The following is a 27,983-nucleotide window of genomic DNA, read 5'->3' as shown; positions in this document are numbered from 1 at the left end:
GCTCATGAAATTTTCAATATAATGGAGATGGATGTTAAATAATCACATCGATTGATGTAAATTTTTTATTTTGAAAGGTGCTGTGAACAGTAAGTAGTACTTGGTGTTATTAAAGAGCATATTGGTTTTTTCACCAAACCAACAGGAAAAAAAAAAAAAAAGAGCGTATTGGGAAGATTGGCCTAGGAAGGTTGGGAGACGACTGAAATCAAAGTGGAAGCTGGGGGGAGACATGAGTTCAGTTTGTGACAAGTGGAAGGACCAAATAAGCAGATGGATATATACTTTTGGAACTTAGAGAAGAGGGCTGGTTAGAAGGTATAAATTTGTGTGTGCCAGTAAGTAGTTAACTGAAATCATTGGCCAAGGGAAATCATATAAGGAAAAGTATCGGGAGAAAAGTTAAAGGTTCTAGGGGTAACTTTGGAGGAGTGCTACTGCTTAATGAACAGCTAAAGCGGCATGTAAAAGGAGGCAGAAATAGAGGTCAGAGCAGTATTTAGAAGGAAAACGAGGACAGTACTAGGAAAATAGTGTTAAATGTTTCAAGAGGCGAGGGTATTTCAAGGTGTATCAAATAAAATCTGGTCACTGCTTACTGTGTTTACAAGGAAGGCCCTGCATGTTCTGGTCCTTTCCACCATCTCTTATCATTGATCCTGCTACTGGCCTACACCTGTTCTTTAAATTCTTTAAACATGTCAGGCTCCTTCCTACCTTGGGACCTATGTGTTGGTGTTTGCTTTGCTAGAATGTTCTTTTCACATGTCATCTCCTCAGATGGTTAGCTAACCTTCCTCCCCCTTTAGCAGGATTGTTGTCAGACTCTGTCAAACTTGGAATTTCATCATATAATTTAGATTAAATTTTGCTTGGGTCTCAAATTCAGTTCCAAAAAAAATATTAAGAACATGTTAAAGGAAATTATTTGGCACAAGTTTTTGGCAATAAAGATAAGAATTTTTAGAATTTAGAATTCACCCTCCCTAAGGCATCTTGACATGACATGATTGTTGAAATGGTGAAGGCTGCATCTCTTTTATAATCCCTTTCCACCAAGTGTATTGCATGGTGGACAGATAGGGGAAAGCTGAAAAGGGGGTATCTGGAGTCTACTCTTTTAGGCATGTAGAAATAATGAATGCAAAATATATCACAGTATTGACAATCCAGTGAACACAAAACAGTAGTAAAATAGATGTTCATTTTCCTGAATGATGAGAAAAGCACTTGGCAAAAACTTTTAAAATCCAGTTTAATAGTTTTCTGGGAGTTCACTTAAGGTCAATGAACTTTTACTAAACTAACAGTAAAGAAGTGATATGGAGGTTGGGGGTGGTTTGGGAAGGGTGTAGTGAAAGTTGCTGATCAGTCTTATGCTGAATAAGTTCTTCCCAAACTAAAGAATAGCAGTTCCTCTGTTCTTTCAAAATGTTAAGATTCACTGTGAAATTTCAGGGCCAGAAAGAATAAATGGCCAGGCAATCAGTGACCACTTTATATTAATCTATTTGCCATCTTGAGGGCTTCATAAAACTCCATACACGGGAGAAAGTGAACTTTGTAGAACCTTTTTTTTTTTTTTTTTTTTCAATTTTGCTTTTTATTTTCCAAAGAGCCATTTTTGTAGCTATCTAGGTTGATGTGTATTGAATGTACTTTTGTTATACTAAACATTAACTCCAAGCTCATGGATTTTCCTTATATAGCTTTCCTCTCTTCATAGTTTGGCACAAGAATGATTCTTAGTGCCGAGTGTTTTCTTTTTCTCCTGGTCTCTTCTCAGAGCAATACTGGCCTTTCACCTGGTTTTGTATCTTATTTTAGAAATGGCCTTGTTCTCAGATTTTATTTAAATGTTGGTTGGTTCAGTCTTTGCTGCAAATGGCTTTCATGTCTGTGGAAGATAGGAAAAAAGAAAGAAAGAAACATAAATTAAAATAGAAGTGATTCCACATGCAGCTAGAGACAAAATTATTGCAAAAGACAGTAGAGATCAATGCCAAGCTGTCCCCAACCCCTACTCCTATAAGGATTTGAAGACCAGAAAAGCTAAATAACTTGCTAAAGATTACAAAGTATTGACGAGAATATATCATTCTCATTATTTTCATGAAGATAACATTCTAGAGAGCTGTATTTTAACACGTAAAACAAGCTATTCATAATATGCCAAACTGCTTCCCCTAGTTATCTTTGAGAAGGGGGAATATACTAAAAATTTTTCTTTCTAATTTTCTGAGTTTGCAGTGTTGTTTTGAGCATCATTGTTGTTAGTATCATGGTTAAGGCTATGAGCATTAGAGTCAGAAATGTGGATTTGAGTTTGGCTTCCACCATTTACTAAGCTATGACTTTGACTTTTGGGAAAGCTTCTTAACCCATCTGAACTGCAGTTTCTTATTCTGGAAGATAAGTGTATTAATACATACGTAGACTGAGTTAACTATGAAGGGATTAACTCTAAGGTTCTTGTCCATTTAGTGCTTGGCCCATAATGATCATTCCATAATGGTAACCACTAGTACTACTACTACTATTGCTACTATTACTTATAATAGAACACTTGATACTGAACAGTATCTTTGGATACTGACATAGGGTGATCATTATTGAATTATTTAAACATTCATCTGCTTAAAGATTAGATGCTTTCTTACGCAATTTTTCAACATACCTTCCAGTTCATTTTATCACTCTGTTACTTTAGAGGAAGCACTGTGGTCATTAGTTCTTACTCTATCAAAATGATATTTAACTCTCAGATACCTCAGTCAGAGCCTGATCCTTACTATAATTGAAATAAAAATTATTGAGCCTCTTCTGTATTTTATACTAGAGACCTTGCCCTGCATTGCCAGGGAAAATCATTAACCACTGCAAAATTTAAAAATCCCTATTGCTGCTCATCTTGGAGCATCCTGTGCTCCATAAGTATACACACAATTTCTTGTGATAAAGTACCAGAAATGTCATTTTACTTATTTAGATGTACTGTACTATTGCCAACCTACCTAGAGATGGCACAGTCACAGATTGGAAACTCAGGGCCTTGTAATTGTTGAATTTATTGTTTGGGCCAGACCTGGATTGTTTGACCCCTTTTAGGTACTGAGGGCGTCAGTGACATATATCTGAGTATTTTTCTATATTTGTAATGTTACCGTTTGTGAGGATGTGCTTTTTAGTTTACAACTGAGGAAGCCTGTCATCATCATTAGTACTCATTCATTCAGCATGAGCACCTGTTTTATCTTAGGCACTAGAGATGCGAATATGAATAAAACATGATTCCTGTTCTGGAAAACGCTGGGGGAGAAAAATAACTTAGATAGTTACATTTCAAAGTGATATGTTCTATATAATAAATATGAAAAAGTGTTATAGTAATATACGAGAGGGAGCAATAAACTTGGGGGAATGGTAAGGATTCAAAGGGGAAGTGACAGTTGAGCCAAGTATTGAAGGATGAATGGGAATTTTCTATTTGGAGGGTAGAGGAGCAGGGGAGGAGGCAATACAGGGTAGGGAAGAGCCTATGCAAAAACTAAAGGACATGCATGGGACACGCTAGGAAAGGAGAAGGTCTTCAGAGTGGCTGGATAAAAGGATGTGTGGGAAAGAACTGAGTTGAAATTAGGAGTTAGAATTTTATTCTTTGGTACTAAGGAATCATTGAAGATTTTAAAATTAGGGCTGACATAATCAGATTTGAGTTTGGAAACCTATAGTTTGGGACTGGAGGAAGACAGGTGCCAGACACCAGTTAAAAAGCTGTTATTTTCTAAGCAGTAGACAAAGGTTTACACTGACAATAGCTGTGGAGATAGAGAAAAGCTGCGAGATTTCAGAGTTTTCCAAGGTGTAAACAACTAAATTTTGTGATCAAAATGATAAGGGCCATGTAATAAGCTGGGGAATGTGGGATCTGTCTTGGTTGAGTTGGTGGATTAACTGAGATTAACAGAGCTGGAGGAAATGTAAAAAGAAAGGCAGGATTGTTCATTTTGTCTTTTGTTTGTTTTGGGGAACAGGGTCAAAATTTTCATTCTGCATAAGGTAGGTTTAGTCTTTTTCAAAACATTCTAGTAGGCAAGTCTGTAGCTGAATCTTGGAAGAAAGGCAACCATAGTAATATTTTTGAGTTCCTACTGTTTATTTTTTCAATAAAAACTAAGGTTCTCAGGTTAGCAGATCATGGTCTTAGGAAGGTAGCTGTAGAACCAAAATATAACTTCCTAAGCTTCTACCAATTGGGTCTTACTGAAATGGCAATTGAGAGAGAAGTAAATCTCTTGGTTTTCACCATAGTTACTTTATGTTTCCTTTCCCAGAGTATCTTTACTAAAAAAAAAAAAAAAAAGAAAAAGAAAAAACTTATATATATACAAAATCCATCTATTTTCTACACTAAGTTTTCTGATCTTAATATTATTTGGCTAAATGACAGATTAGGTGTGCTCAGGATCAAGGATCATAGCTAAGGAGCCTCAAACAGCTTGCTTTGTTCTAACAAAACCTTAACATTTAAAGATTAAGTCCTCAAGAAATATTTATTACTTCATATGTGCTTGATCTAATCTCAGCTGTTACTTGGTTTGAATGTGAGGGAAACAATAAGTATTAAAGAATGACGGATGTAGTGTCCACTTCACTATAGGAGTTTAAGAATAAGGGATTTTTCTCCCCATTTGGATGGTTGAGCTATAGTCCTCTGGAATCAAGGGAATAAAGTAGTTCCTCAAAATCTCTCACCTCCACATTTCAGGGGTCATTCACCATTGATTGAAAGACAGGTGGTCGTCAAGGACTTGAGTGGGCTTTGAACAAGGTGAACTGCAATATGTATCTGACGTTCTTTTTTCTTGTGTTTAAAAAATAAATGAACACACCTTATCTACATGAAATTCTAGTTTTCACTGTTATTATCTAGATTTTCTGTGGGGTTTCTTGGGCTGCGGTGTTTTTTTCTTTACTTTGTTCTTGATTGCTGTGAAATGTAGTTGCCTGCTGTTTTAAGGCAGCTGCAGTAGAGTGCACCCAGAAGTGGTTATGTTTCTATATTTAGTAAAACCATAGGATTTGTGAAGCAGTTGCAGATTCCTTCAGGATAAAATGGTTTCTATAAATGTAACTTTTTTTTTTCTTTTTTTTTTTTGTTTGTTTGTTCATTTATTGAGACAGGATCTCACTCTCGCCCAGGCCAGAATGCAGTGGCATGAACATGGCTCACTGTGGCCTCCACCTCCTGGACTCAAACGATCCTCCTGCCTCAGCCTCCCAAGTAGCTGGACCTATAGGCACAGGCCATCACACCTAGCTATTTTAAAGGATTTTTTGTAGAGATAAATTTTCACCATGTTTCCCAGGCTGGTCTTGAACTCCTAAGTTTAAGCAGTCCTCCCAGGAAGTGCTAGGATTACAGACCTGAGCCACTGTGCCCAGCCTCAATGTAACATTTTTAATGAAACTGTTATTATCACCTATTAGAGAAATATGTAGCAGCAAATATGTGTCAGTCTGTGGACAAGACAGAGGCACACAAAACTTTATTTTCCGTAAGAGCTCACTGAATATTTAAATACTTAAAATTAATCATGTGAATTCTATTTGCATTCTCTTAATCTTGAATTGCAGAGCTTTTACTCAAGTGTTTACCTTTGGTCCGACCTTCCGAGCTGAAAATTCTCAGAGCCGGAGGCACCTGGCAGAGTTTTATATGATAGAAGCAGAGATTTCTTTTGTTGACAGCCTTCAAGATCTTATGCAGGTAGGTACACAAGTTTTAAAATACCAGGTATCTGTGACATTAAAATGTTTCTGTATATATTTTTACCTCGGACGTTTATGTGTTACAGGTATTCATAAAGTGAAAAGAAGGGGTAACTACTTAATAAACACTTATTGAATGCCTTTACTGTAATAGTTTAAAATACAAGAGTCAGACAGATTTAAGTTTATATCCCAGCTCTGCCATTAGCTTTGCTATGAAGTTCCCTGACTTTCATGATCTTTAGGTTCCTCAACTCTAAAATGAGAATAATTGTGCTTACTCCTAAGGTTATGTGAGGGGTAAATGAAATTGTATATATAATATAATGCATATAGCATGGGGTCTGGAACACAAGCAGGTTCACTAAATAGTAGCTCTGATTTGCTAGGAAAATATACCAAACATCTTTATAATTATATAAATGTCTGTAATACTTACATAAACCCCTATGTAGCTATATTAGAAAGCATCCACAGGAGCTATCAGCTCAGTTGAGCAGGGGACAAGGCTGGAGAGATGGTCATGGTCAGGCAACAGATCATGAAAGACCTTGTATTTCAGTGCCATAGTAAGGAGTTTGAACTTTACCCAAAATTTAAGGAGCAAGAGTTCTAAATTGGAAAATGAAGGTCAGAGCTATATTTTAGGCACATCTTTTTAGCAGCAATATGAACAATGATTTAGAGGTAGATAAAAGTAGAGAGGCCTTGTTAGGAGGCTGTAGACATAATCCAGACAGTGCACACAAGTGGAATTGAATGGACCAAGATTTGATGCTTAACCACTCACATGCTATGTGACCAACTTAGACAAGGGACTTAATGTCTCTAGGCCTCAGTGTCTTCATCAAAATTCCAATACATAGGAATAAAAATTCCTACTTTATAGGCTACTTGAGAAGATCAGGTAGATAAAATCTATATATGTGTGTGTGTGTGTGTGTGTGTCTGTATATATATATATATATATATGAAGTACTTAGCATAATTTATGGCACTTAGTAAATACCCAGGAATTGTTAACTGTTAAATTATGAATTGTCTATTCAGAAGCATTGTGGTTACTATCTTAGTTTGGATTTGTAATTATGGGATGTTTATTTTAGTGATTTTCATCAACTCTCCTTTCTGTTCATTTCTATGTCTTTCTACTCTTACCCAGTAAATGACCTATTTCCACTTAAAACATAAATACCATATATATCACAAATAGAACAGACTAATTATTTTATTACCCTGTCTTGAGTTGGATTTCCTAGTAAACAAAACTCTCTAAGGCAGAGATGTGTGGGCAGGGGCGTTATTAGGGAGTGCTCTTGAGAACAGTATTCATAAGGAAAGGAAGAAAGTCACATTGAACAGTGGGAAGTGTGAACTGTGATCCATTTACAAACAGAGGCCTTAGCTTCTTCTGTGAAGAACTTTGGAACTGGAATGGTCCTAAACCAGATGGGAACAGTTGTCCCATCTAAAAGCAAGGCGTTAGCACTTTGTGCCTTCCCATATCAACCAATCATTGGATGTGATTAGCCACTGGAAGGGGCATAACCTTGAGTAAGGCAGTACCTTTGGGTCTCGACAGTTCCTGATGAAGCACTCAACTATAAACCATCAGCAGTTAGTAATATTCCTGGATTCCCATATAGGGCACTTGGCCCTGAAGGGGCATTCGGCCACACAATATAGCATTTCACTTCCATGCTCCCTTTACACTTCCCGCTGAGCATTTTGGATCAGTCCCCATGGGACATTTTTGGTTATCCCTATTAGGGAATGGGCAGGGAAGGGGGAGAGTGGTCACTACTAGCATGTAGTTGGTAAAGGCAGAAGTGCTGTTCAACAACCTAAAGTGCACAGCCACCTTCTCCCCGGTAATTAGCTGGCCCAAAGTATCAGTAGTGCTGCTGTTGAACAACCATATTCTGGACTGTAGGGATTCAGGATCTGAGCTTCAGAAGGAGTCAGTGGCATTCCTTAAGTAGCTTTCACTTGAGCCCATCCCCTAATTCTTTATTAATCTTTGTTCTACAATTATATTTTACCATATGACAGGGTTGCAAGATATCGTTTATTTTTCTCAGTTATATTAGTAAAAACATTGAGGAATAGATAGGTTAAGCTACATACCTTTTTAGTAAGTGTGAGCAGAATTCAGTTACAGATTTTCACCTTTGCATTCAGTCAACAGTGCCATGAAATTATTTTATTCTGCTCTAAACCGGAGCATTTCAATCTAAACTTAGGGTTTAAAATTAGTCATTTCTTTATTTCATTTTCTTTTCTTTATTCTTTTTTTTTTGAAACAGGGTCTCACTCTTGTCTGCCAGGGTGGAGTGTGGTGGTGCAGTCTCAGCTCACTGCAGCCTCCTGAGTAACTGGGTCTGTAGGCACACACCACATGCCCAGCTAATTTTTTGGTAGAAACGGGGTTGCCCAGGTTGGTCTTCAACTCCTGAGCTCAAGCCATCCGCCTGCCTCAGTGTCCCAAAGTGCTGGGATTACAGGCATGAGCCAGCATGCCCAGCCTCATTTTCTCTTTTTCTTCCATTTCTTGACTTTGTTTTTATCTGTAGATGCCCTGACTGATGGATTTTTAGGCTAGTTTCTTAAGCTTTGGTGATTAATGTCCAGGAATACTGTGAACCAGAAGAAAACACAGAGTCATTTTATTCAGAGCATTGCCTTGTACTACCTTTGCTGGTGTTATCTCAGATATATTCCAAAATAAGTTGGGAACTGATTAAAAAGGGTTGGACTACTCCAGAGAGATCAGTTATCCCAGGAGAACAGTTACTTGTCCAGTGGCTTTAGATGGGGTGGGCCTGGGCAAGGAGGTAGCTTCAGTGACGTTACTCCCTGAGAGTTGCATAATAGGTGTCTGAAGCAGTTTTGATTTATCCCTTCACCAGTTGAAGGACATTTAGTTTATTCTGCTTTTGAAAGTAATGAACAAAGTTGCCGTAAATATTTATGTGCAGGTTTTATATGAATGTAAAGTTTCATTTCTGGTTTTTTGTTTTTTGAGGCAGGGTCTCACTCTGTCACCTAGGCTGGAGTGCAGTGGTGCAGTCATAGCTCACTTCAGCCATGAACTCCTGGGGCTCAAGTGATCCTCCCACCTCAGCCTCCCAAGAAGCTAAGACTACAGGTGCTATTTTTTAAATTTTTTATAGAAACAGGATCTCACTGTGTTACCCACGCTGGTCTCAAACTTCTGGGCCCAAGTGATCCTCCTGCCTCTCAGCCTCCTAAAGTGTTGGGATTACACATGTGAGCCGCAGCCACCCAGACTCATTTCTCTTGGGTAAATTCCTAGGAGTGGGATTACTAGGTCAGTGTTTGATGTGATGTTTTATAGTCTTCATTATACAGATCTTGGTTAAATTTACGCCTAAGTGGAGTTATCTTTTGGTATCCAGAAGGGATTGGTTTCCAGACCCTCCCCACTCCCTGCCATTATGGATACCAAAGTCCATGGTTACTTATGTTCCTTATATAAATTACAAAATTTCTTTCATTTTATAGGGAAGAAATCTGTTTTCCAAAATGACTGTTCCATTTTGCATTCCTACCAGCAATGTATGGAAGTTTTACTTGTTCTAGTTCTTCATTAGTACCAAGTACTGTCAGGCATATGTGGTGGTTTTAAGCCATTCTAAGAGCTGTGTATTAGTATCTCTTTGTGGTTTTAATTTGCATTTCCCTAATGCTTATTGATGTTGAGCATCTTTTCATGTACTTACTGGCCATCTATATGTCATCTCCTGTGAGATGTATTTTTATTGCCCATTTTCCATATGGCTTGCTTGTTTTTTTCACTGTTGAATTTAGAGAATTCTTTATATATTCTAGCTACTAGTTCCTTGTTGGATGTGTGGTTTCTGTGTTCTCCTAATAAGTAGCTTGACTTTTCATCCCCTTAATTTTGATGACATCTAGTTTATCATTTTTTCTTTCATGGATTATGCTTTTTGTGTCAAGTCTAAGAACTCTTTACCTTGCCCTAGATCTCAAGGATTTTATGATGTTTTATAGCTTTAGCTTTACATTTTTCATGTAAGTCTATGATCCATTTTGAGTTAATTTTTGTGTAACGTTAGACAGAAGTTCTTGTCCCTTCCTTTCCTTTCCTCTCTTCTCTTTCCCCTTTCCTTTCTACCTCTGGATAACTTCTTGCTCCAGCACCATTTGTTGAAAAGGCTGTTAGCTAAACTTCATGTATTGAATTGCTTTTGGGTCTTTGTCAAAAATCAGTTGGTCATATATATATGGATCTATTTCAGAATCCTCTATTCTGTTCCGTATTCTACTTTTTTAACACTTCAAGTAAAACAACAGTCTTACTACTATGTATTTCCCTTTACCTTCACCCCTTTATCTTATAGTTGCCATATGCATTACAAGTTCTATGTATTAATTTCCTATTGCTGCTATAACACGTCACCACAAACCTGGTGGGTTAAAACAACTCGAATTTATTATTGTATACTTCTGGAGGTGAGAAGTCCAAAGTGGATTTTACTGGTCTGAAATCCAACACTGCTAAAAGGTGTCAGCAGAGTTGCATTCCTCTTGGAGGCTTCAGGGGAGAATTAGGTCCCTTGCCTCTTCCATTTTCTAGAGACTGCCTGCATTCTTTGGCTCACAGATCTTAAAAACCAGCAAGGTATCATCTTCAAATCTTTCTAACTCTCAACACCCTCATGCCTCCCTCTTTCACGTAAAGGATCCTTGTGATTACATTAGTCCCACCCACATAATCTAGAATAATCTCATCATTTAAAGATTCTTAATCACACATACACAGTTTTTTTTTTTTTTTTTTTACCAGGTAGGCTAACACACTCACTGGTTCTGGGATTGGAGCATGGACAGCTTTGGCAGAGGGATAAATATTATTCTGCCAATCACAATTCACATACCTTGAAAACCTCTGGTGATGTTTGAATTTTTGCTCTCAATCACCATACATATTTTAAATAATTTCAGAAGAGAAAAAAACATCTGTTGTATTTACCTACATTTGGTAGTAATAGTAAATTACTGTTTCTGTTGTTCTTGTTTCATTACTCAAGTTCCAGATTTCCTTCTGGGGTCACTTTGCTTCAGCCTAAAGAATTTCCTTTAACATTTAAAAGCATTTCTGCTGGCAATCAGTTCTTAGTTTTTCTTCACTTGAGAATTTTTTCATTTTACTGTCATTTCTGAAAGATGCTTCCACAGGATATAGAATTTTGGCTTGACAGTTCTTTTCTTTCAGCACTTTAAATATAGTCTGCTATCTTTTGACCTCTGTAGTGTTTGAGAATAAATCCAGTCTTGAATTGTTTTTTCCAATGTAAAGGGTCATTTTTCTCGGTTTCTTTCAAGATTTTTTTCTTTGTCTTTGGTTTTCAGCACATGGATTATGATATGTCTAGGTATAATTTTCTTCGAGTTTATCCTGTTTGTGATTTAGTGAGCTCCTTGAATATGTCTTTAGCCAACTTGGGGGAGTTTTCAGCCATTATTTCTTTACGTATTTTTTTCTGTGCCCTTTTTTGTCTTTTCTGCTTCTGGTACTCCAGTAACACAAATGTAAAACCTTTTGATATTGTCCCATGGTGCTGTGATGCTCTGCTTATTATTAACGAGTCTGTCTGTCTGTCTTTCTTTCTTTCTTTCTCTCTCTCTCTCTTTTTCTTTCTTTCTTTTTTTTTTTTTTTTAGACAGAGCCTCACTCTGTTGCCCAGGCTGGAGTGCAGTGGCATGATCTCAGCTCACTGTACCCTCCACCTCCTGGGTTTAAGCATTTCTCCTGCCTCAGCCTCCTGAGTAGCTGGGATTATAGGCACCTGCCACCATACCTGACTAATTTTTGTACTGTTATCAGAGACGGGGTTTCACCATGTTGGCCGGGCTGGTCTCAAACTCCTGACCTCAAGTGATCCGCCCACCTCAGACTCCCAAAGTGCTGGGATTACAGGCGTGAGCCACCATGCCTGGCTAGTATTTTTTCTTTCTGTAATTCAGAATTGGGGGCATTTCAACTGAACTGTCTTCAAACTTACTAATTCTTTCTTCTTTTGTCTTCATTATGATAATGAGCCCATCCTGTGAAATTTTTATTTCACATATTTTCCAATTCTAAAATTTTTATTTATTTATTTTTAGTTTCTTTTTCTCCACTGAGAAGTTCAGTCTTTCTCTTTAAGAATGTTTCCCTTTACCTGTGGAAGATGTTTATAATACCTGCATCAAATTGTCAGATAATTCCAGTATTTGAGTCTTCTATGTGTATGTGTCTGTTGGTTATTTTTTCTCATGAGAATTCATAAGATTTTCCTGGTTCTTTGTATGTCCGGTAATTTTTAAGTATATCCTGGCTGTTTTTAATGTTGTGTTCTGACACTCTGGGTTCTGTTAAAATCCTTTGGAAATGGAATTATTTTTGTTGTTGTTTTTACCAGTTATTAGACTGGTTAGATTGAGACTGTAAGTTTTATTTTACTTTCTATTGGCATTGGTCTCCATGTCAGTTAAGTTTTCAAAGCCTCTGCTGTGCTATTTGAGTCTTTCTGATGCGTGTGCTACTCATAGTCTGGAAATTGCACAGTGATTTGTAGTTCATTGTCAGAAGCATTCACTGTGCTTCTTTGGGTCTGTTTCACATATACATTTCTTGGAGGTGAGCCCTAGCCTTATGTTACTTCATACACAATTAGAGGGTCACCTTCTCCTGTTCTTCAGAATTTCCTTCACACTGTCTGGCCCCCCATTTTGGTTTCTCTGGCCAGAAAGACAGATTTCTCCCAGGTCTTAGTTGCCACCATGTTATTCATTTCCAGGTGACTGTGGCCACCATTGGGTCTAACTGACAAGAGAAAATATTTAAAAAAAAATAATAGGCTGGGTGCAGTGGCTCACTCCTGTAATCCCAGCACTTTGGGAGGCCGAGGCGGGCAGATCACCTGAGGTCAGGAGTTCAAGACCAATCTGGCCAACATGGTGAAACCCTGTCTCTACTAAAAATACAAAAATTAGCTGGGCATGGTGACATGTGCCTGTAATCCGAGCTACTTGGGAGGCTGAGGCATGAGAATCGCTTGAACCTGGGAGGCGGAGATTGCAGTGAGCCGAGATCGTGCCACTACACTCCAGCCTGGGCGACAAGAGCAAGACTCCGTCTCAAAAAATAGTAGTAATAATAATAGAGATTACCCACATCCACGCTCTTCAAAACAGCAGTCTGCCTTTCCCAGTTCCTCTGTTGGAGAAGTAGGTCTTCTCTTGGTGTTTTAGGTGCTTGTGCCACTGTCACCCTGACAGTGCCACTCCACAACTGGGGCTACATTTTGGCTAGGAACAGAAGAGAGAAAAGACTGGGGGACAAAACAACCAAGGATTTTCCTAAAAACACTATCCTACAGGGACTTTACCAGACTAGTAGTAGGAGCTTTCTTCTAGAAGTTTTGCTTCCTATGCCTACTAAACAGATCAACAACGTTTTATCCCCAAATCAAAACCAGGAGACAAAGGAGGTAAAAATGGAACTAAAATTCATCTCCATTTCAGGTTATTAATCAAGTTGACTAGTTCCCATTCCACCTATCATTGTTTATTTTTCTGAGTCCTTAGGTAGTTGCTCTTTGTATTCTGACCAGAGTTTTTTTTGTTTTTTTTTACTTTAAGTTCTGGGATACATGTGCAGAACGTCCAGGTTTGTTACATAGGTATACATGTGCCATGGTGGTTTGCCGCACCTATCAACCCATCATCTAGGTTTTAAGCCCCACATGCATTAGGTATTTGTCCTAATGCTCTCCCTCCCCTTGTCCCCCATCCCCCAATAGGCCCCAGTGTGTGATGTTCCCCTCCCTGTGTCCATGTGTTCTCATTGTTCAACTCCCACTTGTGAGTGAAAACACGCAGTGTTTGGTTTTCTGTTCCTTTGTTAGTTTGCCTAGAATGATGGCTTCCAGCTTCATCCATGTCCCTGCAAAGGACACGAACTCATTCTTTTTATGGCTGCATGGTATTCCATGGTGCATACAGTATCCAGTCTATCACAGTATCCAGTCTATCACTGATGGGCATTTGGATTGGTTCCAAGTCTTTGCTGTTGTAAATAGTACTGCAATAAACATGTGTGCATGTGTCTTTATAAAGTAGAATGATTTAAAATCCTTTGGGTACATACCCCGTAATGGGATTGCTGGGTCAAATGCTTTTCTGGTTCTAGATTCTTGAGAAATTGCCACACTGTCTTCGCAGTGGTTGAACTAATTGACACTCCCACCAACAGTGTAAAAGCATTCCTGTTTCTCCACAGCCTTGCTAGCATCTGTTGTTTCCTGACTTCTTAATAATTGCCATTCTAACTGATATAAGATGGTATCTCATTGTGGTTTTTATTTGCATTTTTCTAATGACCAGTGATGATGACCTTTTTTTCGTATGTTTGTTGGCTGCATAAATTTTTAAGAAGTGTCTGTTCATATCCTTCACCCACTTTTTGATGAGGTTGTTTGTTTTTTTCTTGTAAATTTGTTTAAGTTCCTTGTAGATTCTGGATACTAGCCCTTTGTCAGACGGGTAGATTGCAAAAATTTTCTCCCATTCTGTAGGTTGCCTCTTTACTCTGGTGGTAGTTTCTTTTGCTGTGAGAAGCTCTTTAGTTTAATTAGATTCCATTTGTCAATTTTGGCTTTTGTTGCAGTTGCTTTTGATGTTTTAGTCATGAAGTCTTTGCCTATGCCTGTGTCCTGAATGGTATTGCCTACGTTTTTTTCTAGGGTTTTTATGGTTTTGGGTTTTACATTTAAGTCTTTAATCCATCTTGAGTTAGTTTTTATATAAGGTGTAAGGAAGGGGTCCAGTTTCTGTTTTCTGCATATGACCAGCCAGTTTTCCCAGTACCATTTATTAGATAGAGAATCCTTTCCCCATTTCTTGTTTTTGTCAGGTTTGTCAAAAATCAAATGGTTGTAGATGTGTGGTGTTATTTCTGAGGTCTCTGTTTTGTTCCATGGGTCCACATATCTGTTTTGGTAACAGTACCATGTTGTTTTGATTACTGTAGCCTTGTAGTATAGTTTGAAATCAGGTAGTGTGATGTCTCCAGCTTTGTTCTTTTTGCTTAGGATTATCTTGGCTATACAGGCTCTCTTTTGGTTCCATATGAAATTTAATGTAGTTTTTTCTAATTCTGAAGAAAGTCAGTGGTAGCTTGATGGGAATAGCATTGAATCTATAAATTACTTTGGGCAGCATGGCCATTTTCACGATATTGATTCTTCCTGTCCATGAGCATGGAATTTTTTTTTCCATTTGTTTGTGTCCTCTCTTATTTCCTTGAGCAGTGGTTTGTAGTTCTCCTTGAAGAGGTCCTTCACATCCCTTGTAGGTTGTACTCCTAAGTATTTTATTCTCTTTGTAGCAGTTGTGAATGGGAGTTGACTCATGATTTGGCTCTCTGCTTGTCTATTACTGGTGTATAGGAAAGCTTGTGATTTTTGCACATTGATTTTGTATCCTGAGACTTTGCTGAAGTTGCTTATCAGCTTAAGGAGTTTTTGGGCTGAGACGATGTGGTTTTCTAAATATACAATCATGTCATCTGTAAACAGAGACAATTTGACTTCCTCTCTTCCTATTTGAATACCCTTTATTTATTTCTTTTGCCTGATTGCCCTGGCGAGAACTTCCAACACTATGTTGAATAGGAGTGGTGAGAGAGGGCATCCTTGTCTTGTGCCAGTTTTCAAATGGAATGCTTCCAGCTTTGCCCATTCAGTATGATACTGGCTGTGGGTTTGTCATAAATAGCTCTTATTATTTTGAGATATGTTTCATCAATACCTAGTTTATTGAGAGTTTTCAGCATGAAGGGCTGTTGAATTTTGTCAAAGGCCTTTTCTGCGTCTGTTGAGGTAATCATGTGGTTTTTGTCATTGGTTCTGTTTATGTGATGGATTAAGTTTATTGATTTGTGTATGTTGAACCCGCCTTGCATCCCAGGGATGAAGCTGACTTGATCGTGGTGGATAAGCTTTTTGATGTGCTGCTGGATTTGGTTTGCCAGTATTATATTAAGGATTTTCGTATTGATGTTCATCAGGGATATTGGCCTGAAATTTTCTTTTTTTGTTGTGTCTCTGCCAGGTTTTGGCATCAGGATGATGCTGGCTTCATAAAATGGGTTACAGGACTCCCTCTTTTTCTGTTGTTTGGAATAATTTTAGAAGGAATGGTTCTAGCTCCTCTTTGTACCTCTGGTAGAATTTGGCTGTGAATCTGTCTGGTCCTGGGCTTTTTTGGTTGGTAGGCTATTGATTACTGTCTCAACTTCAGAACTTGTTATTGGTCTATTCAGGGATTGGACTTCTTCCTGGTTTAGTCTTGGGAGGGCGTATATGTCCAGGAATTTATCCATTTCTTCTAGATTTTCTCGTTCATTTGCGTAGAGGTGTTTATGCTTTTCTCTGATGGTAGTTTGTATTTCTATGGGATCTGTGGTGATATCCCTTTATCATTTTTTATTGTGTCTATTTGATTCTTCTCTCTTTTCTTCTTTATTAGTCTAGCTAGCGGCCTATTTGTTAATCTTTTCAAAAAACCAGCTCCTGGATTCATTGATTTTTTTCAAGGGTTTTTTGTGTCTCTATTTCCTTCAGTTCTGCTCTGATCTTAGTTATTTCTTGTCTTCTGCTAGCTTTTGAATTTGTTTGCTCTTGCTTCTCTAGTTCTTTTAATTGTGATGTTAGGGTGTCAATTTGAGATCTTTCCTGCTTTCTGATGTGGGCATTTAGTGCTATAAACTTCCCTCTTAACACTGCTTTAGCTGTGTCTGACCATATTTTTAAGTTATAATTGTTTAGAGAGATAGGTTGTAGTCAATTTATTTCATCTTGGACAGCTAGAGAAATAAAGTGGTTTAATTATTAATATTTCTTTTGACTCTCAAAAGTGTCCCAGCTTGGATAGTTCATTACATAATTACACACAAAGGTTTCTGACTAATTTCATGAGTCTTAGTGTTGATCTTCATGAAACTAATAATAAATTGACACTTAAGAATATTCATGTTTTGGTGTCATGATTTGCTACTCCAGTTCTTATTTATTTGGTACTCCGCTGGTGGTAGTCAGGGTATATACCGTTCTTGAATGATTTAGTTAATTGTGATATACACTTTTTTCCTGAAGACTAGAAAAAAGTGTGCTGTCCCCAAAAGTAATCTGCGTCTCTTAATTTTCTTCCTTTTACAAATTACTTTCCTTGGAAATTAGCATCTTTATACAGAGTGGTCTCTTAAATCAGAATGTTCTAACAAAGAATATTTTCCCCTTATGAGCTATAAGCAATTAGGTATTGCTGTTATAGTACAACTAACTAACATTTTTAAGACATCTGAGTTACGCTAACCCTTCTGTTAGGTTTCTGGGTTTTTTTCAACTTATTTGTGGAGTATATTGTGAATGTCAAGATTAGGGCAGCCAGAGATTTTCTTATTCTGCTGGAAATGTACTTCTCAGGAAAGACAATGATTTAACAACCCCAGTGGTCAAAGTCTTCATCTTACAAATGGGTGTACTGTGTCCCTCAACAGTGCAGGCATATCATCTAATCCACCTGCTCTTTATTCCTCCCAATGTGTATTAGCTTTGTTTAAGTGATTGAGGCATATGAGCCTGCATAAATCATTATGTTACTTAGTAATTTATTTATCTCACTGCTGAATTGAAGGTGATACAGGCTCAAGGTGAAGGATCTTTAGCTTCCTGTTGTTCTCCTTTCATCAAGTTATTCCTTACCCCTATACCCCTCTCACCCTCCCCATTGGATTCATGTGGTTTTCTTTATTTTCCTTTCTTTTCCTCCAATAGTTTAGAATCTATACATTCTGTTTTTATTATTTTAGTGGTTTACCTTATATTTTTTACATGAAATAAAAAGTTAGGCCAGGTGTGGTGGCTCATGCCTGTAATCCTGGCACTTTGGGAGACTGAGGCAGGTGGATCACTTGAGGCCAGGAGTTAGAGACCAGCCTGGCCAACATGGTGAAATCCTGTCTCTACAAAAAAATTACAAACATTACCTGGGTGTGGTGCTACACCCCTGTAATCCCAGCTACTCAGGAGGCTGAGGTAGGAGAATTGCTTGAACCTGGGAGATGGCGGCTGCAGTGGGCTGAGATGGCACCACTGCACTCCATTCTGGGTGACAGAGCAAGACTCTGTCTTAGAAAAAAAAAAAAGAAAGTTAAACATTTCTCCCCTTTTTAGGATACAAGATCCTTAGAAAGTTTACTTTAATTCTGCTTATTCCCTTCAGATTTATCTTTACTATTATCTAGTCTTTTGATTCTTTTTTCCCACCCCCCCCAAATTAGTTGTCATTACTATTTTATGTGATCAGTGCCTTAAATAGCCACATGCTCACCAATTTTTTTTTTTTTTTACTTAATTAGATATACATGTTGGTTGGAAAAATAAATGACCATAGTAATAGAATGTAAGAAAATAGGCTGGGCGCAGTGGCTCACACCTATAATCCCCACACTTTAAGAGGCCAAGGTGGGCAGATCACCTGAGGTCAAGAGTTCAAGACCAGCCTGGCCAACATGGTGAAACCCCATCTCCACTGAAAATAGAAAAATTATCTAGGCGTGGTGACACACACCTGTAATCACAGCTGCTAAGGAGGCTGAGGCAGGACAATTGCTTGAACCCAGGAGGCAGAGGCTACAGTGAGCCATTGCACCACTGCCTGCGTGAGAGAGCAAGACTCCGTCTAAAAAAACAATAAATAAATAAAATGTAAGAAAATAAACCAGGAATGCAGTATAGCTTAGCAAGATGTCTAGAGCAAATGCCACTAGGCCAGGTGCAGTGGCTCATGCCTATAATCCTCGTACTATGGGAGGCTGAGAAGGGAGGATCGCTTGAGCTTAGGAGTTCGAGACCAGTCTGGGCAATATAGCGAGACCTAATCTCTACTAAATATCAAAAAAATTAGCTGGGTGTGGTGATGCATGCCTGTGGTCCCAGTTACTCAGTTGGCTGAGGCAGGAGGATCGCTTGATCCCAGGAGATCAAGGCAGCAGTGAGCTGTGATTATACCACTGCCCTCCAACCTGGGTGACAGAGCAAGACCTTGTCTCATAAATAAATAAATAACACTAACAATGACTGAAACATCATGAAATAGATCTGGTTGTCACTGGTATTTAAGTGTTTTCCTATATCTGGTTATATTAATGTACTTCAATAGACAGTTACGCCTTCACTATGCTTCCAGCCTCAAGAGGATCTACTGGTATGCAACAGAGGAAGAGAAGATACCTGCCTTTAAGGCAGCCTCTACTTTATACATATGTGCACCTTTATGAATACACCATTTAGAAGACGTAATATTGTCTTGTTGATTTAAAACCAAGAATGTTAGTTGTGAATAAAAACATTTTAGAAATATTTTTCATTCCAGTCACTTTTTTCCTTCTAAGAACAAGCTTCTATTATGAGTCTCCTATGGGCACCCATGGTAGAATACTTTTTTTTGTTGTTTTTTGAGACAGGATCTCACTCTGTCACCTAGGCTGGAGTTGCAGTGGCGTGATCATGGCTCACTGTAGCCTCAACCTCGCAGGCTCAAGTGATCCTCCCAACTCAGCCTCCTGAGGATCTGGGACTACAGGTGCACACACCACTATGCCCAGCTAATTTTTCTTTTTATTTTTGTAGAGACAGAGTTTTGCCATGTTGCCTAGGCTGGTCTTGAGAATAAGTTCTTATATACTGATTTTTGCTGTATGCTGTTTTATGTTATTTTTATTTTGGCCATTAGCAAAGCAAAAATGTATATATTTATATTTAGATATATCATCATTTCTGTAATTTTAAAGTTGACTTTCATTTACCAATGAGCGAATGAACCACTTTTCAAAATGTTCTTACAGTTCACAACAACTGATGTTTGTTGTGTGTTTCTCTGAGCCAGTACTAAGCTAAGTGTGACACATGGTTTATCTCATTTAATTCTCTCAAACATCCTGTAAGTTAGGTGCTATTATTACCCTGATTCTACCAGTGAGTTTATTGAAATTTAGAGAGGCATTGATGAGTTACAGCTGTTCATTTGACATCTCACTTCTTTACCAGCATTGAAACTGTCAACATAAGATTAAAACATTTCCTTTTTTCTTCCTCCCTGCCACCCACCAAGGAAATTGAGATGCCTGGAAAACTGAACCAATTTTCCATGGTACATTCAAGGATTAAAAGACTTGGTGGATTTATAGTTGCTAAAGCCTGGAATGCGGTCCTTATTGAGTCCTGAACAGGTTTTTCATGTAAAATTGCTTACGTGTCAGGTGATTCTATTTCATTTCTCTTAGGTTATAGAGGAACTGTTCAAGGCTACAACAATGATGGTTCTCTCAAAATGTCCTGAAGATGTTGAACTCTGTCACAAATTCATAGCACCTGGCCAAAAGGTAATTAGTTTTATGGATAAAGCCCAATACATCTACTGTTTAATGTGTTAATTATACATAATGAATAAAATTATATTTTTAAAATTTTCTTTTTTGTCTTTTTATTAAGGACAGATTAGAACATATGCTAAAAAACAACTTTTTAATGTAAGTAGATGTTATACTTTTTGAACTTTATTCATTATCACTGTATTTATCACACTATATTATAATTTTTTAAATTTATATCTGCTTATATAGATCCTATATATATAGGATATATATATAGACATATTATATGTCTATATATAGACACTCCCCAGATTCCAGGCAAGACCCATGTTCTAATTATTTTTATAGCTCTTGTGTTTGGTTCATAGTTGATAATCAGTGTTTCATCAATAAATTAATAAATCATAGCAAGATAAAATCTAGTAACTATTAACTATGTAACTATAATTCAAACTTATACTAACTTTAGTCATCAAAATTTGGCTTGATTTAAAAAACTGTAAAAACCATGCTCAGTGTAGGTTACAACAAGACAAGAATTCAGGAACAGAAAACTAAGAGATTACCACAGTGATCTGCGTGAGAGTTAATGATGATTTGGACTGTGTATTAGAGTTCTCCAGAGAAACACGACCAACCACGTTTGAGGGCGGGGTGTGTGTGTGGAGATAGAGAGAGAGATTGAGAGATTATTCTAAAGAATTGGCTCACGTAATTGTAGATGCTTGTTGCATTTAAAGTCTCGGGGTAGGTGGACAAGCTGGAGAGTCAAGGAAGAGTTGCCATTCAAGTCCAAAGGCAGTCTGCTGGCAGAATTCCTTCTTTCTCAGGAGGAGATTAGTCTCTGTCTTAGCAAAATCTTCAACTGATTGGATTTAGCCCACCCACATTATGAAGGGTAATATGATCTGCTTTTTTCAAAGTCCACTGATTTAGACATTAATTTCATCCAAAAAACACCTTCTTAGAAGCATTCAGAATACTATTTGACCAAATATCTGGAGACCATGGCGCAGCCAAGTTGACACAAAATTAACCATCACAGACCAGGATGGTGGCAAGAGTTCTCCTATTCCGAATATATTTTAGAGATAGAACAAACAGGATTTACTGAGGGTGAGAGAGAGGAGTTAAGGGTGACTTCAAGGTTTTTTTTCTCCTACAGCTGCAAAAATGAAGTTGCTATTAACTGAAATTGGGAAATGCTTAAGAGAGTATTGGGGCAGGAGCTTTGAGAGGAAGGGGTGGTATCGGGAACACAGACATGTTAAGATTGAGATGCTTTTCAGATATCCAGCCATAGATGTTGGATAGGCAACTGAAAGTGTGGGTCTGGAGTTTTATAAGACAGTCTTGGGCATGAGTATATTGATAAAAGTGGTCATTAAGTAGATGAAGAAAGAAGTAATTTGGCCTTCTCAAGGAATCTCTGCTGGTGACAAAACAACCAGGGAAGGATCTTAGTTTTCCAGCTCCTATCTAATGAAAAGATTCAAAATGCAGAAATAATATTCACCATTTGTTGAATATTTACCCAGACAGTGATAAAATTTACATACATCAGTAGCTCATTTTATCTTCACAACTCCAAGTAGTTATTATTCTCATTCTACAGATGGAGAATCCCTGCAAAGAGGTTGAGTAAAAGATGAAATGGTGATTCAAGCTCATGTTCATCTGATTTCAAAGCTCAGACTTTTAACCTGAGATTTTCATATATTTGGGAGGGTACTGGAATTAAGGGTAGAGTGGTTGTAGCTGCCCCACTATCATTACGACTCTTACATGTCACTTAACTCTTGTGCTTTGGAGTCCTTGTCCATAAAATGTTAAGGTTGGAAAATGTCCTCTTGGGCTGCGCCATTTCAATCATTGTCATTGTCATAATCCATTCTGCATACTACAAATCATAGTTGCAGTTTAAATTTGTGGGGAGAGGGACATCAGCAAGATGATGAATAGAGGGTCCCAGCCTTCACCACAGAAAGTCCATTTGGCAACTAGTCACATACAAGAACACCTTTTTGAAAATCCCAAAATTTGGGAATGAAATTGAGACACGCAGATGGACCACAGAGCAAAAAGTGCATTAGAAGGGTAGGAGCAATGGTCTCAGTTTGACTGAATCCTCCCTTCCCTAAGTAGGCACAATACCACACACAGAAGATTCCCCTTGGCACACAGTTAATGCAGTGGAAAAAGAGACAGCTATCCAGTTTCCCCAGCATTCTGTGATGCTTCCTAGGAGGCCCATTCCTGTCTCACAGGGAACCCTGGGGGTAAGGCCTAGACTACCAGGGGTCAAGTAGGAACAAAGGAGTGGGGCAGTGCTCACAGCAACCAGTACACGGATCTTAGTCATAGCTGTGTTCCTGCCAGCAGTAGCACCTGATCAGAGATACCAGCCAGTGGCATAGCCCATTTACAAAGCCTAGCTGGTTGCTGCAGAAGCTCAGTAGGAAAGTCTATCTGGTTTGAGCCCCTACAGGGCAGCCACCCCACCTAGCCTCAGCATCCACCCCCATGCTTTGCTCAGGCAGGCAGACATCACAAATGTTTTACATTTGTGTAAGATACAGATGGCCAATAGGTTTATCAAAAAGTGTCCAACATCACTAATCAATAAAATGCAAATTAAAACCGCACTGAGATAACCACTCACACCTGTTAGAATGGCTGTTATCAAAAAGTAGAATGAGACACGTTGGCTCATGCCTGTAGTCTCAGCACTTTGGGAGGCTGAGGTGGGAGGATCACTTGAACCCAGGAGTTCAGGACCACCCTGGCCAACTTAGTGAGACCCTGTCTCTACAAAAAATAAATAAATAAATTAGTCAGGTGTGGTGACATGTGCCTGTAGTGCCAGCTACTCAGGAGACTAAGGTGGGAGGATTGCCTAAGCCCAGGAGGTTGAGTTTTCAGTGAGCTATGATCACAGACGCTGCTGCACTCCAGCCTGGGAGACAGAGCAAGACCTTGTCTCAAAAAAAAAAAAAAAAAAAAAAAAAAAAAAGTCAAATGATAACAGGTGTTGGCAAAGATGTGGCGCTTGGGAACCCTTTTATAACTGTTAGTGGCAATGTAAATTAGTAGAGCTATTATGGAGGATAGTATGGGAGGTTTCTCAAAAAACCAAAAGTATATTTACCATATGATTCAGCCATCCTACCTCTGGGTACATATGCAGAACTGAAGTCAGTATGTCAAAGAGATATCTGCACTTACATGTTCTTTGCAGCACTATTCATAGTAGCCAAGATATGGAATCAACCTAAGTGTCCATCAGTAGGTGACTGGATAAAGTAAATGTGTATATATATACACAGTGGAATACTATTCAAAGGAAATCTTATTTGTGACAGCATGGATCAACCTGGAAGACTTAATGCTAAGTGAAAGAAGCTAGGCACAGAAAGACAAATACTGCATGATTCACTTTGATGTGAAATGTAATAAAGTTAACACTACAGAAGTAGTGAGTAGAATGGTAGTTACCAGTGGCCGGTGAGGGGTTCTTGAAGGGAATGGAAAGAAATTGTCCAAGGGGTACAAAGTTTCAGTTAGACCAGAGGAATAAGTGTTCAGGATTTATTGCATAACAAAGTGACCATAATTAATTGTAATGTATATCTCAAAATTGCTAAAGGAGTAGATTTTAAATCTTCTCACTGCAAAAAAAAAAGTGAAGCATGTGAGACGATAGATATGTTAATTACCTTGATATATTCATCCCACAGTGTATAATACCAAAAACACATTGTATCCTGTAAATACATAAAATATTTGTCAATTAAAAATTCAGACATTTTTAAATAAATGTATATGTGTGATTATTTGATTGGTATCTACTACCTCTGTGATGTCAGAGGCTATGTTTAAATTGCTTACTCTTATACCCCCAGGACTTAGCCCAGTGCCTTTAACAGGAACTCAGTAAATACTGAGTAATTGAGTGGACAAACAAGTGACTTGAGTAACTGTGGCTGTAAAGGTATTCTTTAGGCTGGATCCTCTCCTGAGGTTTCTTATTGGCTAATATCACTATTTATTTCAGTCACTGAGGGTAGTGAACCATGATTCAGAAAACCTGGATTCTAATCCTGGCCCTACCATTTACTAGCCATTAATGAGTAAATTATTATTTTTTAACAAATATTTATTGACTGCCTAATATGAGTTAGGCACTTTGCTAGTTCTTGAGAATAATGAAAACAAACATTGATTTATTTTTTTATGGAGTTGAAAATCTAGAGAAAAAGATGAACAGTTAAATATTTATATGAATAATGTAATTACGACTATGAACTTGATTAATAGTGAATCTTTAACTTTTCTGAACTTCAGTTTCCTCATCTATAAAAAAATACTCTGCCTTATATTGTTGAAAGGATTTAATGACAATACTGTTAAAAGCAATATGTCAGACTAGGTAATTTGAAAACACTCTTTCTGCAAAACATCTAAAAATAATACTTAAAATATTATAAGATTCTTTTAAATACGTTGTTGAATTCACTAGAAAGTAGGAGAAGTTCCAGGTGCTAGAAATGAAGAAGGAACCAAACACCAGAGTGATATGGACAGTTGGTGTGATGCTGAGGATTCTCAGGGTGTAGGGTAGGGAAGCTGGAGGGCGATTTTCCAGTTTTTGAAACCAGAGATTTTAACAGCAATGAGATGACATGAGAATAGACGTAGCAGAATGAATTAGAATCAAGATATCCCCTGAAATGCATGCACAGATATACACACAAAGCTAGAACTGGTCAAGGACTACACCCTTAATGAAAGGGCCAATTAGAAAATAAGCAAACAAACAGAAAATTGAGCTAGCCAGCATAGAGAATTTACAAAGAAGTGTAGAAGTATATCTGCTTTAGCCTGGGCTTAAGGATAGAGACAAAACAGAAATAGTCTTCATTGAGAATTTGCAGCCACAGTTGGCCCTTAAGTGAGCCTAGAGTTTGAATTTATGTTTCCTGTGTAGTTCAAGAATCTTCATGCCAGGGCATTAAAATAAAAAATTGTCTTCAGTTGGTGATAATGCTGGAGTAGCTATAGAAATCAATATAAAACCAAACTTGAAGTTTGTACCCTCAACCCAAGTGGCATGATATTCTCAAAACAAACTCTACTGAAGATAATCTCACACTCCAAATACACAGGGAAATACCTACCATGAGCAAGAACAGCAGACATAACAAACAGCATTAGATTCCCAAGAAGTTCAAAGAACAGTAATGACAATAGATTGATAAAATAGTATCTTCACATAGTTGAAAGAAAATACCTGTTACCTTAGAACTGAAATACTGGGCAGCAATAACTTGTAAAACTGGAGAGGCACGTTGATAGTTGAAATGTTAGTCCTTTTGTTGTTTGAAAGGAAGAGAGAGAAACTGGTGAACTTTAGACTTTTTGTTTTTAAGAGACAGGACCTTGCTGTGTTTTCCAGGCTGGAGGGCAGTGGTGTGATCATAGCTCACTGCAGCCTTGAACTCCTGGGCTCAAGCAATCCTCCTGCCTCAGCCTCCCGAGTAACTGAGACAACTGGTGCAGGCCACCACACCCGGCTGCTTTAGACTGTTAAGTCAGATATGCATGTTAAAATGTGCGGGGTAGCCACTGAAAGCATAATGAGATGGTGCTGGTCTGATGACAGTGATTATTAAGTCATCAACATCAGAGGTATCAAGTTGAGAAATAGATTGTGTGGTGGTGCCCTCTCTACCACTTTGGCATCACCTTTCTGCTGTTACATGCCTTTTAAGGCATTGGCACTGAAACTTCTGAAAATACTGGTGTAGCTGAATCTACTATTGAGTTAATCCTAAAAACAGTAAAGAGAAAAGAAAAAACAGGGAGATGGCGAAAGAGAAACTGTTGTCCTTTATGCAGACTGCACTGTTAGTTATTGAATCTGTATAGATACCATGTGACTTGTATTCTTTTGAGTAGATTTCAGTGTATTTTTCACTACCTGTTACAATTATTTTATATGAAAATGTGCTGTTTCAGCAACTCGTGTAGTAATGGAATTTAGCCTTTATGCAGAAATTGTATTCAGTTTATTTTACATTTCCTTTATATTATTATGGTTCTGAAAATGTAGAGTACTTACCTTTTTTATTTGCTCTTCATTTATCTTTGTGTGTGAATTTGAGGCGAAGGATGACAATAATTATCTTTGTAGTTGAGCAATTTTACTCTTAACAGCTTCAGAATAATGAATTTTCTTTATTCAGCAATGAAAAATGTGGAATATGAAGGTAGTTTGATGCTGTATCATTCTCTACCACAGTGTTTTTTCCTCCTTTCCTCAAAGTACTTTGGAAACAGTTTCTGGAAAGGAGAAGAGATATTATTTTCTATACATATCAAGAAAAATACTTAATAGAGTTGATGGAAGCCATTAAGGATATCAAATGTCAGAACTGTAATTTGAACTTGAAAGTTCTGCCTCTAATGAAGGTATTGGGGAGTGGAGTGGAAGACGTGGAATAACAGGAGATATTTAGACATGAGAGTCATTTCTTAATAATGAAACAGTAACATACCAATGGTACAAAATCTTACTGCTTATTATTTTGACTGCTCTCATATTTCTCAGTGTGATTGGTAGATGATACCAAGTAATTGATATAATAGAACAATAGAATGCCTAAGCAGAAAAGAACTTTATGTGGCACATATACACCATGGAATACTATGCAGCCATAAAAAATGATGAGTTCATGTCCTTTGTAGGGACGTGGATGAAATTGGAAATCATCATTCTCAGTAAACTATCGCAAGAACAAAAAACCAAACACCGCATATTCTCACTCATAGGTGGGAATTGAACAATGAGATCACATGGACACAGGAAGGGGAACATCACACTCTGGGGACTGTGGTGGGGTGGGGGGAGGGGGGAGGGATAGCATTGGGAGATGTACGTAATGCTAGATGACGAGTTAGTGGGTGCAGCGCACCAGCATGGCACATGTATACATATGTAACTAACCTGCACAATGTGCACATGTACCCTAAAACTTAAAGTATAATAATAAAAGAAAAAAAAGAAAAAAAAAGATAGTTCAATCTCCTTATTTTACAAGTGCAAATACTTAATTTTTAAATGTTTGTATAATACATTACAAAAATTAATAACATGCTTTCACTACGTTGAAGTGACTTACATAGCTAGTAGTAGAATCAGATGAAGTGGTAGAATCAGTTGAGCCCATTTTCTTTTGTTTTGATGGAACATATGAAACTCTAAGTGTTTCAGTCATTATCTTAGCCGTTAAAAGCTTATACTCTGGAGTCAGCAGATCAAGATTTACTATTTACTTACATGAGTAACCTTTGGAAAGTTATTGATCCTCTCTAACCTTCTGCTTCCCTTCTGTAAAATGCTAATTTTAAAATCGTTATTACTGCTACTACCAACACCACTGCCACCACCATTATTACCTTAGAAATTACCTATTGTTATTACTAGATTTTAATTTGAATAGATTCTTAGGAAAAAACCTGTCTTTCAAAACATAGCTTTAGGGGCTTTATTGTACTGTATGACACAATACAACTCTTTCTGGTTAGTTGTTATGGATATGAACTTCATTTTTGCTTCAGAGAACAAGTTTGTGCTGGATAAATTATTTTTTGAGCTCAAGGTCTTTCAGGAAGTTTGTAGATTTTTTTGTAAAAAAAAAAAAAAAAAAAATCCAAAATACTGATGCAGTATTTTACCTGTAAT

At 37.7% G+C, this 27,983-nt stretch overlaps 1 protein-coding gene and 1 long non-coding RNA gene across 28 annotated transcripts in view, besides 1 other annotated feature; one reads left to right on the top strand and one right to left on the bottom strand.

Moving 5' to 3' along the window:
* NARS2 (asparaginyl-tRNA synthetase 2, mitochondrial) overlaps positions 1 to 27,983 on the top strand; it is a 138,897-nt gene that overhangs the window by 76,032 nt on the left and 34,882 nt on the right. For 18 of the 26 annotated variants that reach the window (NR_189154.1, NR_189157.1, NM_001425314.1 and 15 more), the window contains 3 exons: positions 5,638 to 5,770; positions 20,150 to 20,248; positions 20,358 to 20,395. The exons of 1 other annotated variant lie outside the window; for it this stretch is intronic. Coding sequence is in view for 21 of the 25 variants with exons in the window: in NM_001425314.1 (NP_001412243.1) it covers positions 5,638 to 5,770; positions 20,150 to 20,248; positions 20,358 to 20,395 (270 nt within the window). In the remaining 4 variants the exon portion in view is untranslated. Of the gene's footprint in view, positions 1 to 5,637; positions 5,771 to 20,149; positions 20,249 to 20,344; positions 20,396 to 27,983 lie in introns of those variants that run through there. 7 more of the 26 variants (NR_189156.1, NM_001425306.1, NM_001425301.1 and 4 more) reach the window with 4 other exon arrangements.
* LOC105369403 (uncharacterized) lies at positions 1,242 to 27,944 on the bottom strand. Of its 2 annotated transcripts, XR_007062797.1 has the most exons (3): positions 25,537 to 27,944; positions 23,956 to 24,003; positions 1,242 to 1,897 (listed from the first exon to the last, which is right to left on the bottom strand). It is a non-coding gene; the product is annotated as an uncharacterized LOC105369403 (long non-coding RNA). The 2 variants fall into 2 exon arrangements; XR_007062798.1 differs by lacking the exon at positions 23,956 to 24,003.
* Positions 25,496 to 25,790: an enhancer, noted in NCBI's record as "tiled region #10369; HepG2 Activating DNase matched - State 5:Enh". NCBI's record gives its function as "activates a minimal TATA promoter and a strong SV40 promoter by Sharpr-MPRA in HepG2 cells {active_cell/tissue: HepG2}" and the evidence as "EXISTENCE:reporter gene assay evidence [ECO:0000049][PMID:27701403]".

Source organism: Homo sapiens, chromosome 11, assembly GCF_000001405.40.
Source record: "Homo sapiens chromosome 11, GRCh38.p14 Primary Assembly".
Lineage (NCBI taxonomy): Eukaryota > Metazoa > Chordata > Mammalia > Primates > Hominidae > Homo > Homo sapiens.
The sequence above is the reverse complement of the archived record's forward strand: the minus strand, read 5'-3'. Positions and strand labels throughout refer to the sequence as shown.